This window comes from Homo sapiens, chromosome 15 (assembly GCF_000001405.40).
Source record: "Homo sapiens chromosome 15, GRCh38.p14 Primary Assembly".
Lineage (NCBI taxonomy): Eukaryota > Metazoa > Chordata > Mammalia > Primates > Hominidae > Homo > Homo sapiens.
The window spans coordinates 26,428,487-26,447,892 of record NC_000015.10 but is presented as its reverse complement, the minus strand read 5'-3'; the positions used below and the strand labels follow the sequence as shown (position 1 = coordinate 26,447,892).

At 40.4% G+C, this 19,406-nt stretch overlaps 2 long non-coding RNA genes across 9 annotated transcripts in view; one reads left to right on the top strand and one right to left on the bottom strand.

Moving 5' to 3' along the window:
- The window catches only part of LINC02248 (long intergenic non-protein coding RNA 2248), a 94,817-nt gene that overhangs the window by 41,981 nt on the left and 33,430 nt on the right, over positions 1 to 19,406 (bottom strand). For 4 of the 7 annotated variants that reach the window (XR_001751453.2, XR_001751451.2, XR_001751452.2 and 1 more), the window contains exon 2: positions 461 to 1,464. This is a non-coding gene — a long non-coding RNA (long intergenic non-protein coding RNA 2248). Of the gene's footprint in view, positions 1 to 460; positions 1,465 to 2,249; positions 3,775 to 19,406 lie in introns of those variants that run through there. The other 3 variants (XR_001751455.1, XR_001751454.2, XR_002957734.1) reach the window with 3 other exon arrangements.
- LOC105370740 (uncharacterized) overlaps positions 1 to 19,406 on the top strand; it is a 74,705-nt gene that overhangs the window by 30,246 nt on the left and 25,053 nt on the right. The gene's annotated exons all lie outside the window — the stretch shown is intronic.

The following is a 19,406-nucleotide window of genomic DNA, read 5'->3' as shown; positions in this document are numbered from 1 at the left end:
TATTTATGAATGAGAACAATCAATATTTAATGATGCCATTTTCCCAAAATTAATCTAAAATTCAAAACAATTCCATTCAGAACACCAAAGCCTTGTTTATTTTTGGTGAAAAATGAGAATATAAATAGATATTAGTCAGGGTTCTCCTGAGAAAGAGAACCGACAGGAGATCTGTTACAGGAATGTGCTCACTTGAGTATGGAGGGAACTTTTATTTATCAAAAGTTACTGTAGAAAATGTGAAAAGATAAATTAAAAATTGGAAAAGCTGCAATACAGCCATACCCTATGACTTGGCATTTTTCAGGGTACACAATCTTAGGAAACTGTTCATATCCATCCAGAGACACACACAAACCAGCTTATAGCAGCACAATTTATAATGCCAGAAAACAGACAAACAAAAAGCCTAAATAGCCAACTAGAGGTAGATTTTTAAGTTAAGTTGTGGTATACTCACAAAATGGAATATTTAGTATCAGAATATTTCATCCAGATCAGCAAACTTTTCCTGTAGATGGTCAGATAAGTATTTTTGGCTTTGCAGGCCATATGGTTACAACATTTCGGTGCTATCATTGTAACAGAGATGCTGTAGTCAATACTAAATTGCTATGTGGAAGAACAGAGAAAAAGAGAAGAAAAAAACACCAGGAATTTCTTCCACTGTCTCTGAGTTTTAGGGGTCTCTTTTTTCCCTTCCAGCCCAAACTGGAGGATTTCTTCTGCATCTCACTGTATCCACTCCATCATGCTCACTTCCAAGTTTCAGGCTGTGTGGAGTTAGGATAGGAACACAAAGTATCAAACTCACTTTTTCGAGTAGATTTCAGATTCTCTAGCTCTTCCCTGATGGGCTCACATCTACTTTTCAAAGTTTCCAGTAGCTGTCTTTGCATTCTCTCCAGATTTTTTTTGGCTGAGTTACTGAGAAATAAAGGGAAGCATGTCTCCCCCATCTCTAAAACCTGGAGGACATATTCTAATGTTCTATTTTTAAAAAGACAAAAAAAAAAAAGGAATGGAAGATTTAAAAATTCCTAAATATTGGATCTATTTATCAGTGTAAGCTCACTTGATAATTCACAATTTGAATGGGTTTTCTAAGCATATTAAACAATGAGAAGTAGGGATTTGGCAATTTTATGGTTGGTTAATTAGGTCACTGTTCCTGTGAATTGTGAAAGTTCTTCTGACATGTGGGCATTGTTTTGAGGCAAAAATGAACGATGCTTCTAGTAAAATGTGGGTCCTTTTCAATTCCCACATGAATGCGTAGATCTCTAGGATATACAAGACAAATATTCACAAGGCACAGTGGACCTGGGCACCTTCTATTTGATTTTTTAAAAATGTGTTCAAAGGGGTCTTATACAAAATCAGTATAATTAACTTTTTTTTCTCTTGCTCTCAATTTCCTGTTTTCTCAGATTCATTTCATTGTTGATGTTGTTAGTCAATGACCTGGAAAATAAAACAAAGTAAGTTAGGGAAATATATATATGAAGTTGCTGATTTTTATGGCTTGAATTTTATCCCTTCAAAATGCATATGTTGACATCCCAACACCCAGTACCTCAGAATGTGATCTTTTTGGAAACAGGGTCATTGCAACTATAGTTAGTTAAGATGAGGCCATGCTGGAGTAGGCTGGGCCCCTAATCCAACATGACTGGTGTTCTTTTAAGAAGAAATGATTTGGACACAGATACCACACAGGGGAGAACACCATATGAAGATAAAGGCAACAATGGGAATGATGCCTTTGCAAACCAAGTATGCCAAAGATCACCAGCAAACCACCAGAAATAGAAAGGCATGAAATAGAGTCCCTCTCATTGTTTTGAGAAGGCACCACCACCCTGTGGATGGCTTCATCTTGGGCATCTGGACTGTAAGACAATGTGGTTCTGTTGTTTGAGTCACCCAGTCTGTGGTACTTTGGTACAGCAGCCCCAGCAAATGAATACACTGAGAAATGTAACAATTGAAAAATAAATTTTTAGAAATACGTTTGTCCTTAAACAATTTAGAGGGTTTTTTTTTCTTTTTGGCCAGTGTAAAATATATTTTGGGAGTCATGCTAAATCCTATCAAAAATAATAACATAGTAAAGATAAAAAATTATAGGTTAACTATCTTAAAAGTAGCTGTGCAAAGAAGTCTTGAGAGTTATTAGCAGAAAAATTCTAAGGTCTCAGTGCTGCACTGTGCAAAATAAAATGAAATAAAAAGTTGGTTATACTCACACATATATCCAGCCTGTATAAAAGGAATGCTGGTAGGACATGACTGGCTCTGCTATTAATTGTACCCCAAGTAGAGACAAGACACAGCTGGAGCAGGAGAAGATTCAAATTACACAGGGAATACAACACAAGGGCTTACAAATATCAGGAGTTGATGTGGGTTTGTGTGTTGGATTGGGGGAAATTGTAACAATTTAGGAAAGTAAATGCCAGAAGCAGTGGCCCAGATGGATGAGATAAAGGCTTTATATAGTAACATTAAAAATGTTATTGCAAATGCTTCTGGCTTTTATTAATCTTACTCTATTAAAAGGTGCCATAAGGAAATCATAATAAAGACAAAATGCAGTCAACAATTATGGTATGCGGGGCTCAGGGAAACTTCTCCCATGGAGAAACATATATTAAGTTGGTAAGATTAGCATATACATCATTCAACATCATTGGGGGTCTAATCAAGGGATTATAACTAATTGACAACTATATATAGCAAGCTGAGAACCATTTATTCAATGAAACCTATGGAAACTCAGTAAGAACTGTGATCTGAGAGACCAAAACAGACTCCCCTTCATCAACCATGATGGACACTAAGGTTAAGGAAACAAAAGTTAATGATGGCTGGAGGGTTCAGCTTGGCTGGCATGGCATCTTCCTAAATTCCTATGGCTACAAGAAACCCACACTTTTGTTAAATTCTCTAAGAATGGGAGCTAGCAGGCAAATGATCAGATCCCTCTTAACCCTGATTTACAACCCAGGTCACTGCAGCTCTGAATGGACAGAGGACTGGCCTCACTGATGCTCTTTCCTGATAAGCGACTGCAGATCTTAAGCCAGTTTCAGCAGCTTCTAGAGACTGCATACAAACTGTCTTTGTGTCTATAGTTCACCCCTTTTGAAATAAAGACCCAAATTCCACCTCACTTTAATGCTAACACCCACCCCAAAGTGAGCATGGGACGTATGTTACATATATGTTTACCCATTGTGAATGTGCTTGGCTCCCCTCGGGAATAGGTACAGCTTTTCCCCAAACCTCCTGAAGACGTTTGTCTCTCTCTATTGTGTGATTCAGGACCTGTGAGGTAAAAAACCCAACCTGTCCTTCCCCCTCTTCAAAGAGAGAGCACCTGTGGTCCATGCTTGAGATGCAGTTTCCAAACTGATAACACTGTAAACCAGAAATAACATTCTAAGGCCTCTCAGTTATCTGAAAGGACCTCTCCTTTTGGCCGAGGGCATTGCAAAGTTAACCTGAAAGAGTAGTTCAGGCCATGATGGGAAGCAGGTTTGAACATATCTCATTATACCATCCTCCCTTTTGGAATTCAGGAAAATTCAACCAGCATTTACAATCTATTACCTTTGAAGCCTGCTACTTAAAGGCTTCATCTGCATGATAAAACCTTGTTCTCCACAACCCCTTATCATAATCCAGACATTTCTTTCTATGACCTGGAACCCTGCTTGCTTTGAGTTGTCCCATCCTTCCAGATCGAACCAATGTAAATCTTACAGGTATTTGATTGATGTCTCATGTCTCCCTAAAATGTATAAAACTAGGCTGTGCCTGACCACCTTGGGCACATGTTCTCAAGTTCTCCTGAGGTCATCCATTTTTTGGCTTAGAGTACATCTCTTCAAATATTTTACAGAGTTTGACTCTCCATAAACATCACCAATCAAGCTCTCCTTTCTACCATTTAGCCATCCTGATGGTCTTTTAGATGACAGAAATGTGGGAGGCTATGCCATATGGGGGAGGAATTAAACCCATTTCCCTCAACTCTGCCTCATGGAGCAACTGTGTATCCTCAGCACATGAGCAGCTGTTGTCATCTCCCCAGCTCCTGGAGGTGGAAGAGCTACTTTAGGTGGTCTTGCCAGCCCTTGAACATGAGAAATACCATTTTTCACAGCTCCATGCAAAGTAAGGCCCATATCACATGAACACCAGCAGCTGGGTGCTGCCTATTTGCCCACGTCCAACTCCTGCTCTGTAGGGAGGATTTGGGAGGGGCAGCTGGCAAAGAGTACAGCCCTTGCGTCCCTCACACATCTGTGTGGCAGGACAGCCACTTCAGCAGGCATGGCTGTTAGTCACACCTCCCATCTCTCCCAGCTTCCTAAGGCGGAAGCTCTGCTCCAGGCAGAGGTGGCAGCCAGTGGACATCAGCCCATCTCATCTCCTCTGACCAGGTTGTGAAAGACCCATAGTGGGTGACGTGGCAGCAGTTGGGTTACAGCACCAGTGCCTCTGCCACACACAGCTCCTGCCACACAGAGGATCTGTGTGAGGTAGATGGAAGAAAGCAAAATCCTTCCTCCACCTAGGTTCTGCACCACAGTGCAGAGATGCTGCCCCAGAGAGGCTAATTCTTTGCCCTTGCCAAGGAGCCTGGGTTCAATCGGATCAGACTTTGGAACAATTCATACTGCAGGACATTGTCAAAAACAATACATGAATCAGGCCAGGCACAGTGGCTCATGCCTATAATTCTAGCACTTTGGGAGGCCAAGGCGGGTGGATCACCTGAGGTCAGGAGTTCAAGACCATTCTGGATAACAAGGCAAAACCCCGTCGGTGTTAAAAATACAAAAATTACCTGAGTGTAAACCAGAAATAAAATTCTACGGCCCCTCATGGTGGCATGTGCCTATAGTCCCAGCTACTCAGGAGGCTATACTGGGATCACAGCTGGGATTGCACATGTGCCCCGACCACCTTGGGCACATGTATCAAGACCACCTTGCCATGTGCCCAACCACCTTGGTCACATGCGTCCAGTCATCTGAATGGACCCCTCTTCTTTGCCAAGGGCATTCCAAAGTTAACCTGAAAAAGTAGTTCAGGCTATGATGGGAAGAAGGAAGTAGGTAGGCTCATACTTATCAATTTCAAAATTTACTACAAAGATGCAGTAACAAAGATAGTGTGGCATTGGTATAAAGACAGATAGATACATCAAACAAATAGAATTCAGAGTCCAGAAATAAACCCTTACATTTATACTTATTTAATTTTCAACAAAGGAGCCAAGACAATTCGGTGTGGAAAGAATAGTCTTTTCAAGAAATGTTTTTGGGACAACTGGGTATCCTCATGTAGAACAATCAGTTGTCTTGTTATTGAGTTGCTGGGGTTTCTTTTACATATTGGATATTAGCCTTTTATCTATTACATATTGGGTTTTAGCCCTTTATCAGATGTCTGATGTCCTAATATATTCTCCTGTTCTGTAGGTTGTCACTTTGATTGTTTTCTTCACCGGGCAGAAGCTTTATAGTTCAACTTAATCCAATTTGTCTGATTTTCACTTTTGTTGTCTGTGCTTTTGGGGTCATAGCCAAAAAATAATTGCCCAAACCAATGTCATGGAGCTTTTCCCCTATGTTTTATTTCAGTGGTTTTACAGTTTTAGGTCTTAAATGTAAGTCTTTAACTCACTTTGAGTTTATTCTTGTTTGTGATGTGAGATAAAGGTCATATTTCATTATTCTGCTTGTGAATATCTAGTTTTCCCAACACCATTTATTAAAGAGACTGTCCCTTCCCCATCGTGTGTTCTTAGCACCTTTGTTGAAAATCAACTGACCATAAATGTGTGAGTTTATTTTTGGGCTTTCTATCTTAGTCCATTGGTTCATGTGTCTTTTTTCATGCCAGTACCATGCTGTTTTGATTACTTACAGCTTTGTAATGTGAAATTAAGTATTGTGATGCTTACAGCTTTGTTCTTGTTGCCCAAGATCGCTTTGGCTGTTCATGGTCCTTTGTAATCCCTACTTCATACCATATACCAAAATTAGCACAAAGTGGATCATAGGCCTAAATGTAAAAGCGAAGCTTTAAAATTTTTGGAAAAAATACAGGAATAAATCTTCAATATCTTGCTTTTAAAAATGATTTCCTAGATATAATCCCTAAACACAGCTAATAAAAGGGAATATAGATAAGTTGGACTTCTGAAATTATAGGTAAGTTCCAAAATTTTAAACTTTTTAAAAAAGTTTGTGCTGTAAAGGGCATAAAAGAAAAAGAAAACACACAAATCGGGGGAAAATGTATGCCAATCATATATCCATAAAGGGATTTTTATGAAAAATTTATATGAAAAATGCTTACAGTTCAATAAAGGAAAGACAAATAGCCCATATAACAAATGGGTAAGAAATTTGAATAGTTATTTCTCCAAAAAAATATGAATGGCTAACATGCAAATAAAAAGACATTCAATATCACATTATTAATTAGAGAAGGGAATGTCAAACCACAGTGAGATACCATTTTGCACTCACTAAGATAGGTAAAATAAAACAGACAATAATAAGTGCTGATGAGGATGTGGAGAAATTGAAGTTCTTATACATTGGGGATGGCAATGTAAAATGGTCCAGGAACCTTGGATGATTCCTTTTTTTTTTTTTTTGAGACGGAGTCTGGCTCTGTCACCCAGGCTGGAGTGCAGTGGTGCGATCTCAGTTCACTGCAAGCTCTGCCTCCTGGGTTCACACCATTCTCCTACCTCAGCCTCCTGAGTAGCTGGGACTACAGGTGCCCGCCACCATGCCCTGCTAATTTTTTGTATTTTTTTAGTAGAGATGGGGTTTCACCTTGTTAGCCAGGATTGTCTCGATCTCCTGACCTCGTGATCTGCCCGCCTCAGCCTCCCAAAGTGCTGGGATTACAGGCATGAGCCACCACGCCCGGTTGAGAATCCTTTTGTAGTTCTTGAAAATGTTGACTCTACAGGTACCATATAAACTGACAATTTCTATCCTCTAAATATCCACCCAAGAGAAACAAAAACAAATGTCAACACAAAAATCTAAACATGAATATTTGTAGCAGCATTATTCATAGTAGTCAAAAAGTGGTAACAAACCAAATGCCCATTAATTCTTGAATGGATGAACAAAATGTGATATATCTAGAATGGAATATTACTTGGCAATAAAAAAGGAAGTAAGTACTGATACCTGCTACAACTCAGATGAACCCTCAAAATGTGCTAAGTAAAAGAAGCTAATTATAAGATACCACTTGTCTTATGATCTAATTTATATGCAATAGTTAGAACAGGCTAGTCCATAGAGGAAAATAAATATGTTGTTGCCAGTGACTGGTGGGGGGAGCCAAAGGCAGGGATGATGGGAGTTACTTTGCATTGTTTCTTTTGGGACATTTTGGAATGAACATGTTTGAAAATTACATTATGGAGATGATTGCAAAACTCTATCAATATACCAAAAACTATTGTACATTTTGAATGGGTGAACTTTATGGTATGTAAATTTATCTCAGTAAGGTTGCTTTAAAAAGTTATGGAGAAATGAAGATATTATCAGACAAACAAACACAGGGAATTCATTGCACCCAGGCATATTCTACAAGAAAGTTAAGGAGGTTTTTCAGGTGAAAGGTAGGTGATGTGGATTAGAAACTTGGGTCTACACAAAGATATAAAGAACATCAGAAGTGAAAGACAAAAACTGCACGATCTCAGTCATATGTGTAATCTAAAAATATTGATCTCATAGAGGCAGAGGGTAGGAAGGAGGTAACTAGAGGCTGGGAAGGGTATGGGGAAGGGTGGTTGGAGAGATGTTTGTCAAAGAATACATACAGTTAGACAGGAGGAATAAGTTCAAGAGCTCTGTTATACAGCAAGGTGACTATAGTAATAATGATATTGTTAAAAAATGCTAGGAGCGCACTGTGCTGGGTGGGAGGGGACACAGAAGATTAGGCTTGGCGTGGGGACACTGAGGAGAGAGATTAGCTCTGGCAGGGGATACTGCCAGTAAGTGTTCTTACCACGAAAAAACCAAAAATAACTGTGAGGCAGTACATTTGTTAATGAACTAGATTTAACCATTTCACAATGTATGTGTACTTTAAAACATCATGTTATACACAATAAATACATAAAATTCTATGTCATTCTAAAAAAATAAATAAATTTGGGGGAAAAGTGAAATAGAGGTGAAATAAAATATTTTTATAATTTTAAGTTTCCCTACAAGGTAACAGGCTGCCAACACATTAACTTTATATGCTTCTAACAACAATGCACTGTAAGTTTATTACATACACATAAGTGAAATATATGACAAGCACAAGTGGTAAGGATGGAGAATCAGGGAAGAGAAAAAGAGCTGTGCTAACCTTTTTATTTGCAATGCTTTATGAAAAATAGGGAAGAAAGAAAAAGAACAGAAGTGAGGTTAGTGGGTAATGAAAGAAAAACCTTAAGAGAGAAGCTGTCCACTTTACAAGTGGCTGATCATCTTCCTTAGAATCCAAACTGTCCATTCCAAATGATGGGAGCATGGCCCAGCAGTTAGGTAAAAATCAAATGCAATGTCCAGAGACCCAAATAAACAGAATGCAGGAGTGCTCAGTGTGTGATTGCTTTAATCTGCACGGCCTTCCTATCCTAGATGACTTGGTGCAAAGGAAGAAATAATCATGCACTGAGAAAAATTGGAAGGACATGTATTCCCAATTCCTGGTAAGGAGAGGGAGATGGGAAACCAAATAAGAATGTCTGAGAGTCCCAGCTAATAGATTTGCTGGAACGGAATTCTATTTTAACACTACTACTTGTACTGGTACTACTACTCTTGCTACGACTGCTGCTAACAGCTACTGTGGACTGAATGCTTGCTGCTTGCTGGGCTGTGTGCTTTGCATAGGCTGCCTCACTAAGTCCTTATAAGGATCCCAAGAGGAAGTTACTGTTAACCCATTTTACACACATGGAAGCCGAGGCTTTCAGAGTCTAATCGCACCACTCAGCTCATTTGCCTGTTGCCGTGACACTGGTCTCGCTGTGACACTGGTCTTGCCTTGACTGTCTCTTCCACAGTTTGTGCTCAAGTCACTATACTGGGTGGGAGGGGACACAGAAGATTAGGCTGGGCATGGGGGGCACTGAGGAGAGAGATTAGCTCCGGCAGGGGATACTGAAAAAGTACACAATACATCCTGTAGTGTTCAGGGAGGTGGCATTCTTGCTGGTACAGGGATGAGAAAAGCAAACAGTAATTAGTAGAAGGCACCAGCACAGCACAGAGGAAGTATTGTTGAAAAACGTCTAAGGCTGAATAAAGGCTCATGAGGGAAGCAGCAGGCAATAAGTTGGAAAATTGAGCTGGGGCTGGATGCGTGGGTGTGAGAGAGGCCTGCAAATGCCACATTAAAGGCTGTTGTTTTGTGCACTGTGAGTGCTAGGGTCTAAATGTTTGTGGCCGCCTTGAATTCATATATTGAAACCTAATCACCAATGTGATGGTGTCAGCAGATGGGGCCTTTGGGAGGATATAGTCATGAGGCTGGAGCCCCTGTGATGGGATTAGTGTCCTTATAATAGGGGCCCCAGAGAGCTCCCTCACTCCTTTCATCATGTGTGGACACAGACCCCTCTGTGAATCCACTGATGCTTCAGTGACCTCTGGGCAGTGAGGGAGAAGTGGACACTGAAAGGTCTCCTAAGGCCCAGGCCCAGGAGTCTTGAACATCTGCCATGTTTTGTTGGTCAAAGCAGGTCACACAGCCAGCCCAGCTGGAGTAAGGCAGAATCTACCTTTGGTAGAATGAGGGATAAACTCCCATTACCTGCATACCAGGACAAGGAAAATGTATGGCTATTACTCAGCATCCCCCCTCCCCCCAGATGTCCTATGTGTGACACATCCAGCCCTTGAGCCCACTTCAGAGTATGGAGGGCCATGGAAGAGCAGGGCCTTATCACTCACTCCAAGCAGAAAGCACCTTCACACCCGGTTCAGATCCAGCAAGGACCATGTCTCTGGGTCTAAGAGAGCCCTTACCCTAAGACTAGAAAGACGAAGGAGGCTTGCTCAGTTTCCACTGAAAATAAAAGAACCACACAAGACTAGTCCCCCTCCGTGGGCACAGACCAATCCCATTTTGGAACATACTGCAATCAGTCCCAGAAGGACGATGGGCATGTGAAAGACCCTGCCCAGGAAGCATCTTGTTCCTTACCTTGGCCTTCATGTGGGGGTATTTGAGGACATTCCCTATACTAGATTTAAGAGAAGATAGTATGCTAGTGAATCCATGCAGATGGAAGTTGCTTTCACCTGTCCCCAAATCTTCATGATTCCCCCATTGTCTTAGTCCATTTGGACTGCTATAACAAAATGCTATAAACTGGAGTAAGATAAATCAATGCAACTTATATTTGTGGAATTGATGCTGTGTGTATGCCTTTTGCTAGGTGCTAGGAATAATGACAACACTATGAACCTTAAAAAAGTTTCAGTCTAGTGGGTGAAATGGAGCTACACATAAAGGAGCCTGATTCAAGGCAAAATGGGATACATACTATAACATAGAGAGCAAAGAGATGACTTGTGAGAGATGCAGAGACATGTACCAAGCTACAGGGAATTAGAAGCTTTAGAGCCAATTGTCCAACTCACTCAAATATGTTAAAATTTTTACATCCTTTTTTTGTGTGTGTGCAAGTGCCATTCCATAAATGTGTTTTGCATTTGTCGTTAAGTCAATGATGTGCTGGACCTGCTGTGCCCACAGGCCTCTTCAGGAACTCCTTGCTCTTGGGTCACTTTGACCTTCGTCTGGACCCACAGTCCTCATCACAGTTGAGGGGGACGAGCCAGGAGCTGCTGTCTGGCAACAGCTCCCTGGAGGTCACCACCCCAGGTGGGGAGCAGCCTGCACAGGACTGGAGGAGCTAACCCATTCTGATGCCTCAGTGTGAGCCCTAAAAATAAGTGTCAGACACCCACACGCACACATGGGTCCACACATGCACAGAAAGTTCTAGAAGAACCCACGAGGCAGTGTGAGCCTGAGAAACAATTACAAAGAAGAGAACGGAGCAAAAGTCATGGGCAATGGCAGAAGAAGCAGAGCCAGTAAGGAACAAAGTTTTAGAACCCGTGTGATGAGATAAACCCGGAGCCCCACCACGTTAGGTTCGGTGCCAGGGAGGTCTGCCGGAGGGCTCCTCAGTGTGGCCCAGTTCCTCCATGGATTCCTGAAATGCTGTGGAGGCTGGAGCTGCCAACGTCCTCCATCAGGGCATCATCTCCTATTTTGACCATGTCTACAGCCCTTAATTATACCCCTTGCATCCATCGTCTGTCTTCTGCCCCTTGGACCCACTATTACACGGTTTCCAAACTCTCAGGCAATGGCTCAGTCTCACCCTGCTGGGCTCCTGTATACACTGTCCCCTGCCCACAGTATGAAGTCCAAGGGTTTAGTGGGGCCCAGCAGGCTCTCCTCCCTTTGCCTCAGGTCCAGTGCACAGCAAGCTCCCATGTACATGAGGAATTCTGATTCACCTTGCCATGTGGAGCCAAAGAGTCCATAAGCTTTCTTCATTAAAAATTTATTTTATTTTTAAGCAAATAAACACTCACATAGTTTAAAACCATAAAGTATTAAGGGATTTTGAAAACTCTGCTTCCCAGCTTTAGACTCAGACATCTATTTCTATCCTCCTCCCTCAATATCTTGTTTTTTCTTGTACAGCATTTTGCGCATGTATTTGTCAAGATGGAGATATACTATTTTCTTTCCTGTAATACAAACATTTACATACAATGCAGGCTGAACCCAACGTTCAGGTGCTTTCTGTTCACCCATGACTTCCACACTCCTCCCTCCGAAGAGTGACACATATTGAGTGGGCAAACACCTCTGGCAGAGTAGCCATCATCTTCCCAGAAAGATATTAAAAGAAAAAAAATACAAGTTATAATGGTTGACAAAATAAAATCAATAAATAACTTTGAGAGAAGGAAGGCTAAACACATCTCTCATTTCAAAGGAAAAAGCATTTGTAAAATGTAAGATTCATGCAAGTTTGTGATTTACATTTTTTTAATTCAGAAAAATAGTGCTAAAGAAAGTTATGGTTTAGAATGGACACAAAGGCCTTAATGGCAAAAAGGCCAAGAATAGAATTTGCTCATGTTTTCCAACAGGAAATAGTGCCTGGCACATAATAGGTGTTCAGTAAAAGTTTTGATGAAATCATACGTGTATGAATGAATGATGGGCCCAGGGGCTTTGAGTTGGGGGAGAGACAGACCTAACAGCAAAGAAATAATGAAATATCAGTGGCACCCAAAGAAAGATACTACTAAACCTGTTTTGTAATTCTGATGCAACACTTTCCTAATCTGTGTGAAAAATCATTTTAAAAGAATAATGAGATTTGAGTTGTGATTTAATTGACTCAAACCTACCTTAAAATTCACATAATAATATGTATGTGAGTTGAGAACAATCACTACTGTGTTAGTCTCTAGTTGCTGTAGAATCACATTCACAAAAGCATCAGAGAGGAAAATAATCTAGGATTATTATGTCTCTCATCAGCCTGAGACAAGCTGGCAAGTCAAACAAGGGCCCTATTCTTCGCTTAGAGGGATGAACCCATTCATGGCCCCCAAAATGCAAGAGAGAACATGCTGCCCTTAAAAATATAATAATGAGGCCGGGCGTGGTGGCTCACCACTGTAATCCCAGCACTTTGGGAGGCCGAGGCAGACAGATCACAAGGTCAGGAGATTGAGACCATCCTGGCCAACGTGGTAAAACCCCTTTTCTACTAAAAATACAAAAATTAGCTGGGTGTGGTGGTGTGCAGCTGTAGTCCCAGCTAATCGGGAGGCTGAGGCAGGAGAATCAGTTGAACCCGGAAGGCAGAGGTTGCAGTGAGCCAAGATCGTGCCACTGCACTCCAGCTTGGCGACAGAGCAAAATCATTATCATAATAATGAAAAAGTTGGGAATAATATGACACATAGGGACCTCTCTTAGAGGCCTGCCACTCCTTCCTCACAAGCATGGAAATACAGAAAAACCCTGTGTTCCTCCGAGGAAAATTCTAGGCCCCTAGCTATCCCTAACCTTTTACAAGGTTAAAAAGCAACCTTGTAAGCAGGAAGGTACTCGAAGCCTAAAACAATAGTCAAGGAAATTAAAGTCACGAGATGTTCGGTTCCTATAGAAACTAAAGAGAACATGTTAGCATATACCCCTGAGTTCTTTTTCAGAAACCCAGACCTCCACCAAAGGGGCAGATAAGGGGCAACCAAGGACTGAATTCCAACGACGGTTCTTTGTTCTTAATTTCTTCCTGAGGGCCCAGAGGAAGTCATGCTCACAAGCCAGACCTAACATTCTTCTTTGCCGACCCCAAGACTTTAGTCAAAGCTCCCCTCCTTAACCAATTGCAAATCAGAAAAACCTTGATTCTACCTATGACCTGTAAACCCCACTTTAAGATATCCCACCTTTTCAGTTTAAACCAATAGTGAACCTCCATGTATTGATTTATGATTTTGCCTGTAACTTCTGCTTTCCTGAATTTCCTGCCATTAAAACCCCTTACCTGGAAGCCACTGGGGAGTTTGGGTCTTAAGTGTGAGCTGCCCGATTCTCCTTGCTTGGTGCCCTATAATTAATGCCTCACTTTCCCTTGCTGCAAAACCCAATGTCAGTGTTTGGCTTTGCTGCCCGAGATAGGCAGACTCAAGTTCAGTTCGGTAACAGTAATGCAAGTGCTCTGGAGAATGACTGACACTGTGGACCAGGCCCAGGTCCTCCTTGGGTCTGTGCCAACACAGCTCCCTGGCTCACTCCAACTTCCCAGCTGGCCACAAGCAACTTAGTATTCAACCTCAGCAGGGCCAAGAAAAGTCTCCCGTTTATTTCCTTCCCCAGGTTTTTCCTAATCCCTGGAAAAGCGATGTGATAACCACCTCATTTAGGGGCCACTCCAGGGCACCATCTGGCTGCATGACCCACACACATGTAGCCAGTCTCATGGCCCAGCCTTCAATATTAGCAGATATGGGAAATCAAGAAAAAATACGCTTGTTACTTTCACTTGATCAAGGATCCGAAATACCTGAGTCCATTTCCACACGGCAGCCACACCTTCAAGCCCCACAGAGAACTGAAAACATGAGAGCGAGGGATCCCAGCTGCTCCAGTCTCCACAACAATTCAGGAATCCCATAGAGGACCTGGGTGGCACTGATCCCCTCACTGTCAGCTGCAGACCTCCCTGGCGCCCCGCCTGAGGCTTCGAGACTCTTGTCGGCTCCTGGTTCTGCCCTTTACTGCTCTGTGCACACTGGCTCTGCTTCTCCCACCATTGTCCGTGAGTTTCCCTCTGTTCTCTTTGTGGTTTTGCTTCTCAGGCTCACACTGCCTCCTGGGTTCTTCTAGAACTTTCTGTGCATATGCACACACCTGTGTGTGGGCATCTGGCACTTACTTTTAGGACTCACACTGAGGCATCTGAATGAGTCAGCTCCTCCAGTCCTGTGGAGGCTGACCCCCAACTGTGGTGGTGACCTGCAGGGAGCTGTTGCTGGACAGCAGTTCCTGGCTTAGTCCCAGTCTCTGCCCGCTTGACTGTGATGAGGACTGTGGGGTCCAGACATGAAAGTCAAAGTGACCTAAGTATAAGGGGTTCCCCAAGGGGTCTGTGGGCACAGCAGGTGCAGCACATCATTGACTCTATGCCAAATACAAAGTACGTTTATGAAATGGCACAAAAATGAAAAGATTTAACATAGTTGAGAAAAAGTCCAATATGATGTATATTAACATATTAACAGAATCAAATTGGACTATTGAGAATGAAGTCCCCTTTTACTGTGAACCTCCTCGGACAAGAACACTTGATTCTTGAAAAAATCAAGTGCACAGGAGCCTTCCTGTGTGTCTGCTTTGCTTGTTCATTCCTAGAATAACTTTCCCCATGCATGCTTTAGACTGTCTTTTAGAGAGAAAATAATTACATATCCTTAGCATTTAACTCATATGAATGACATGACATTTCCCAAAAGTGAAATGTGGCTCAGTATGTGGTATTTAGTCTATAGGGTATTGTACATCACGACTGGAAAATAACAAATGGTTTTCATCTTGAGGGTTGACTAACTCAATGTCCGTTTTTAGCATTGCCATAAGGTAGAGCTCTGTCGCTGAGAAATAAGTTGTTGTTACTAGGAGGGACGCACTGGTCTGCACAACTTTACTAATTTTTTTTTTTTTTTTTTGAGACAGTCTCACTCTGTCACCCAGGCTGGAGTGCAATGGTATGGTCCCAGCTCACTGCAACCTCTGCCTCCCGGGTTCAAGCAGTTCTCCCACCTCAGCCTCCCGAGTAGCTGGGACTACAGGCGTGTGCCACCATACCTGGCTGATTTTTGTATTTTTAGTAGAGACGGGGTTTCACTATGTTGGCCAGGCTGGTCTCGAACTCCTGACCTCGTGATCCGCCCGCCTAGGCCTCCCAAAGTGCTGGGATTACAAGCGTGAGCCACTGCGCCCTGCAATTTTACTAATTTTTTTAATTGAAAATTTTCTAGTGATAAGTGAAGATTCACATGCAGCTGTAAAAAGAATATAGAAAAACCCCTTGTACGCTGCTCATTTTCCCCAATGATAACATTTTGCAAAATTATAATTTCACAATCAGGATATTAACATTGATGTAATCCATCAATCTTATTCAGATTTCCCCAGTTTTACTGATACTCATTTGTGTGTGCATGTGTGTGTGTGTGTGTGTGTGTGTGTTTATTAGGCTGCACACAAATTTCTCACCTGTGTTGGTTTGTGTATCCACTGCAAGAGTACATACACCAAACAGTTCCCACACCACAAAGACCCCTTTTGTTGTTGCCCTCTTATAAATACACCCACTTCCTTCCCCCAACTCCCTGGCAACCACAATCTTTTCTTCATTTCTAAATGTGTTCATTTAAAAGAATGTTATATTATTGAAAAATACAGTATGTAACCTTTTGGGACTGGCCTTTCTTCACAAAGCATAATTCCCTGGAGATTCATCCAAGGTGTTGCATGTATCAATAGTTTGTTCCGTATTTCCAAGTAGGATTCCATGGCATTCTTATAGAACACCTTGTTTATCAATGTACTTATTGAAGATCATGTGGGCTGATTCTAGTTTTAGGTGACTACAGATAAAGTTACTTTCATCTACAGGTTTTGGTATGAATATGATTTTTATTTTTCTGGGATAAATGCCAAGGAGTGCAATGGCTGGCTCACATGGTAATTGCATGTTTAGTTTTATAAGAAACTGACAAACAATTTTTCAGATGAGTTGTATTATTTATACTCCCACCAGCAATATGTGTGTGTATCCTTGCCAGCATTTGGTAGCATTAGTGTTGTTTTCCTTTTAGCCATTCCTATATATATATGCAGTGATTTCTCATTGTGGTTTTAATTTTCATTTTGTTGATGCCCAATGAGTTAAACATCTTTTCATCTTATTTGCCTCTTGTATTATATACTCGTTGGTGAAAAATATCTTCATGACTTTTGCCCATTTTCTAATTAGATTGATTGAGTTTTAAGAGCTGAGTTTTAAGAGCTCTTTGTATGTTCTAGATACTAATCCTTTGTCAAACGTGGTTTGCAAATATTTTCTCTCAGTGTGCAGCTTGTCTTTACATCCTTTTCACATGGGGCTTGACAGAGCAAAATATTCCACTTAAATAAGGTCTGATTGATTGATTTTTCCTTTTGCAGATAGTGTTATTATGTCAAGTCTGAGAACTCAACCTAGTGACAGATCCCAAAGATCTTATGCTGTATTGTTTTCTAAAACTTTTATGGATTTACATTTTAAATTTAAGTCTGTGGTTCATTTGAGTGAATTTTTATATAAGATATGAAGTTTAGGTTGAGGTTCCTTTTTTGCCTGTGGGTGTCCCATTGATCCAGGACCATTGGTTGAAAGGCTATACTTCCTTCATTGAATTGCTTTTGTACCTTTGTCAAAAATCAACTAAGTATACATAGGTATTATGTGTCAATTATAAATAAAATAAAACTTTTAAAAAACCAATCAAGGCCAGGCACAGTGGGATGCATCTGTAATCTCAGCACTTTGGGAGACTGAGGCAGGAGGAATGCTTGAACCCAAGAGTTTGAGATCAGCCTGAGCAACACAGCAAGAATCTGAGAACCTGTCTCTACAAAAAATAAAATAAAAATAAAAAATAAAAATAGCCCGGCATGGTGGTGTGTGCCTGTAGTCTCAGCTACTCAGGAGGCTGAGGTTGGAGGATCACTTGAGCCCTGGAGTTCTAGGCTTCAGTGAGCTATGATTGCATCACTGCACTCCAGGCTGGGTGGCAGAGCAAGACTCCATCTCTTAAAAAAAATCAATGGAGCTTACTTTTGTGGGTCTATTACTGAGTTTGCTATCTTATTCCATTGCTCTATGTGTCTATCCACATCCACACTATCATGATCAGTGTAGCTTTATAGTGAGCTTTAACACAAGGTATAGTGATTCCTCTTGCTTTTTTCTCTTTGTTCAATATTGTTTTAGCTATTCTAGGTTCTGTTCTTTTCATATAAATATTAGAATAAGCTGGTCTATATCTATAAATAACTTTTATAGGACTTTCATAGGTATTTATGTGAAAACTATAGATAAATTTGGTGAGAATTGACCTCTTAATATGTTGAGTCTTTCAGTCCATGAACACAGTGTGTTTTTATATTTATTTAAGTCTTTGATTTCTTTCATTAGCATTTTACGATTTTCATCATACAGATCTATACATGCTTTGTTACATGCATATCTAAGTATATCATTTAATTTGAAGTGATGGTGAGTGGTATTGTGTTTTCAATTTTGGTTTCTGTATGTTCCTTGCTATTATATAGATATGTGATTAACTTTTGTGTGTTGATCTTGTGTCCTGTGATGTGCTTAAAACACTTAAAAGTACTAGGAGTTTTTGCTTTTTTTTGTATATTTCGGGAGATTTTCTATGTACACCACTACGCCATTTGAAATAAGGACAGTTTTATTTCTTCCTTTTCAATCTGTAAGCCTTCTATTTCTTTTTCTTGCCTTATTACACTGGTTAGATCTTCCAGCACTATGTTGAATAAAAGTGATGAGAGTAGATATCTTTGCCTTATTCCCAATCTAGGTGGAAAATATTCAGTCTTTCACCATTAAGTATGATATATACCATAGTTTTTTGTAGAGCTTCTTTGTCAAGTTGAGGTAATTCCTCTTTGTTGATTTACTGACCCCTGACATAAGTGATGCTTCTGGGGTGTTGGCATTTTCTTTTTCTTCTCCTGGGTAGTGTTACACAGTGCTAGACAAATTGTTCAACTTTGTACTAAGTCATCAATTGTGTGTTTATATTTTCTGAACTTTTATGTATGTGTGTCATATGCCAATATATGTTTTTCAATGGCTGATAATTTTCTGGAATCAAATTTAACAAAAAGTATGCAAAGAATTCTAAAAGCTACCAAAGAGAGGAAAAAAAAGGATAACCTACAAAGTTGCAAGAATTAGTCTCTCATGAAAAACAGTGAACCAAAGAAGATAATGAAAGACTATTTTTAAGATGCTGGAAGAAGGGTCCTTTTAAGCTAGAATTCTATATTCAGTAAAATTGCATTCAAATGTAAGAGCAAATGATGACTTTTAGATCATCAAGAATTCAGAACTTTTATCCTGATAGACTCTTTCTGTGAAAATGAGCAGAAATTATATTTCAGCAAGAAAAAATAACATGAGGAAGAAATAGAACAGAAACAAATGATGAACAATGACATTAGTGAAAGATATTTTTCCTTATATGAGTTGCTTTTCAGCTTTACAATATAAATCTGGCAATAAAATGCCAGATTATAACATGGGGGAGGCAGAGGTAGGGGCGTGATTTCATACTGAGACTATTACCTTGTTTAGAAGGATACGGACATTGATTAATTGTTGATTTTTTCAAATACATATGGTAATAAATTATAGGCAACACCAAGGAAAGAAAATGTATAAACTTCAATCAGTAGTTCAAAACTGAATAAGCAATTATGAAAAATAAAATAAGTAATGAATTGAAGTTTTTTATTTAATTCTAAAATGTACTCCTTTGTGCGTATTTCTGTTTCCTTTCAAAGGATCCAATTATACGAAACAGCACCTGCCACTGAAACTACTTCACAAGCAATAATTTTCATTATTTTGACTGCAATAGCAAAATTCTTACCTGTTATCTGATTTGCATTTACTGAAATAGCTCTCAAAAGATTCAAAATGAATTTCTGAATAATCT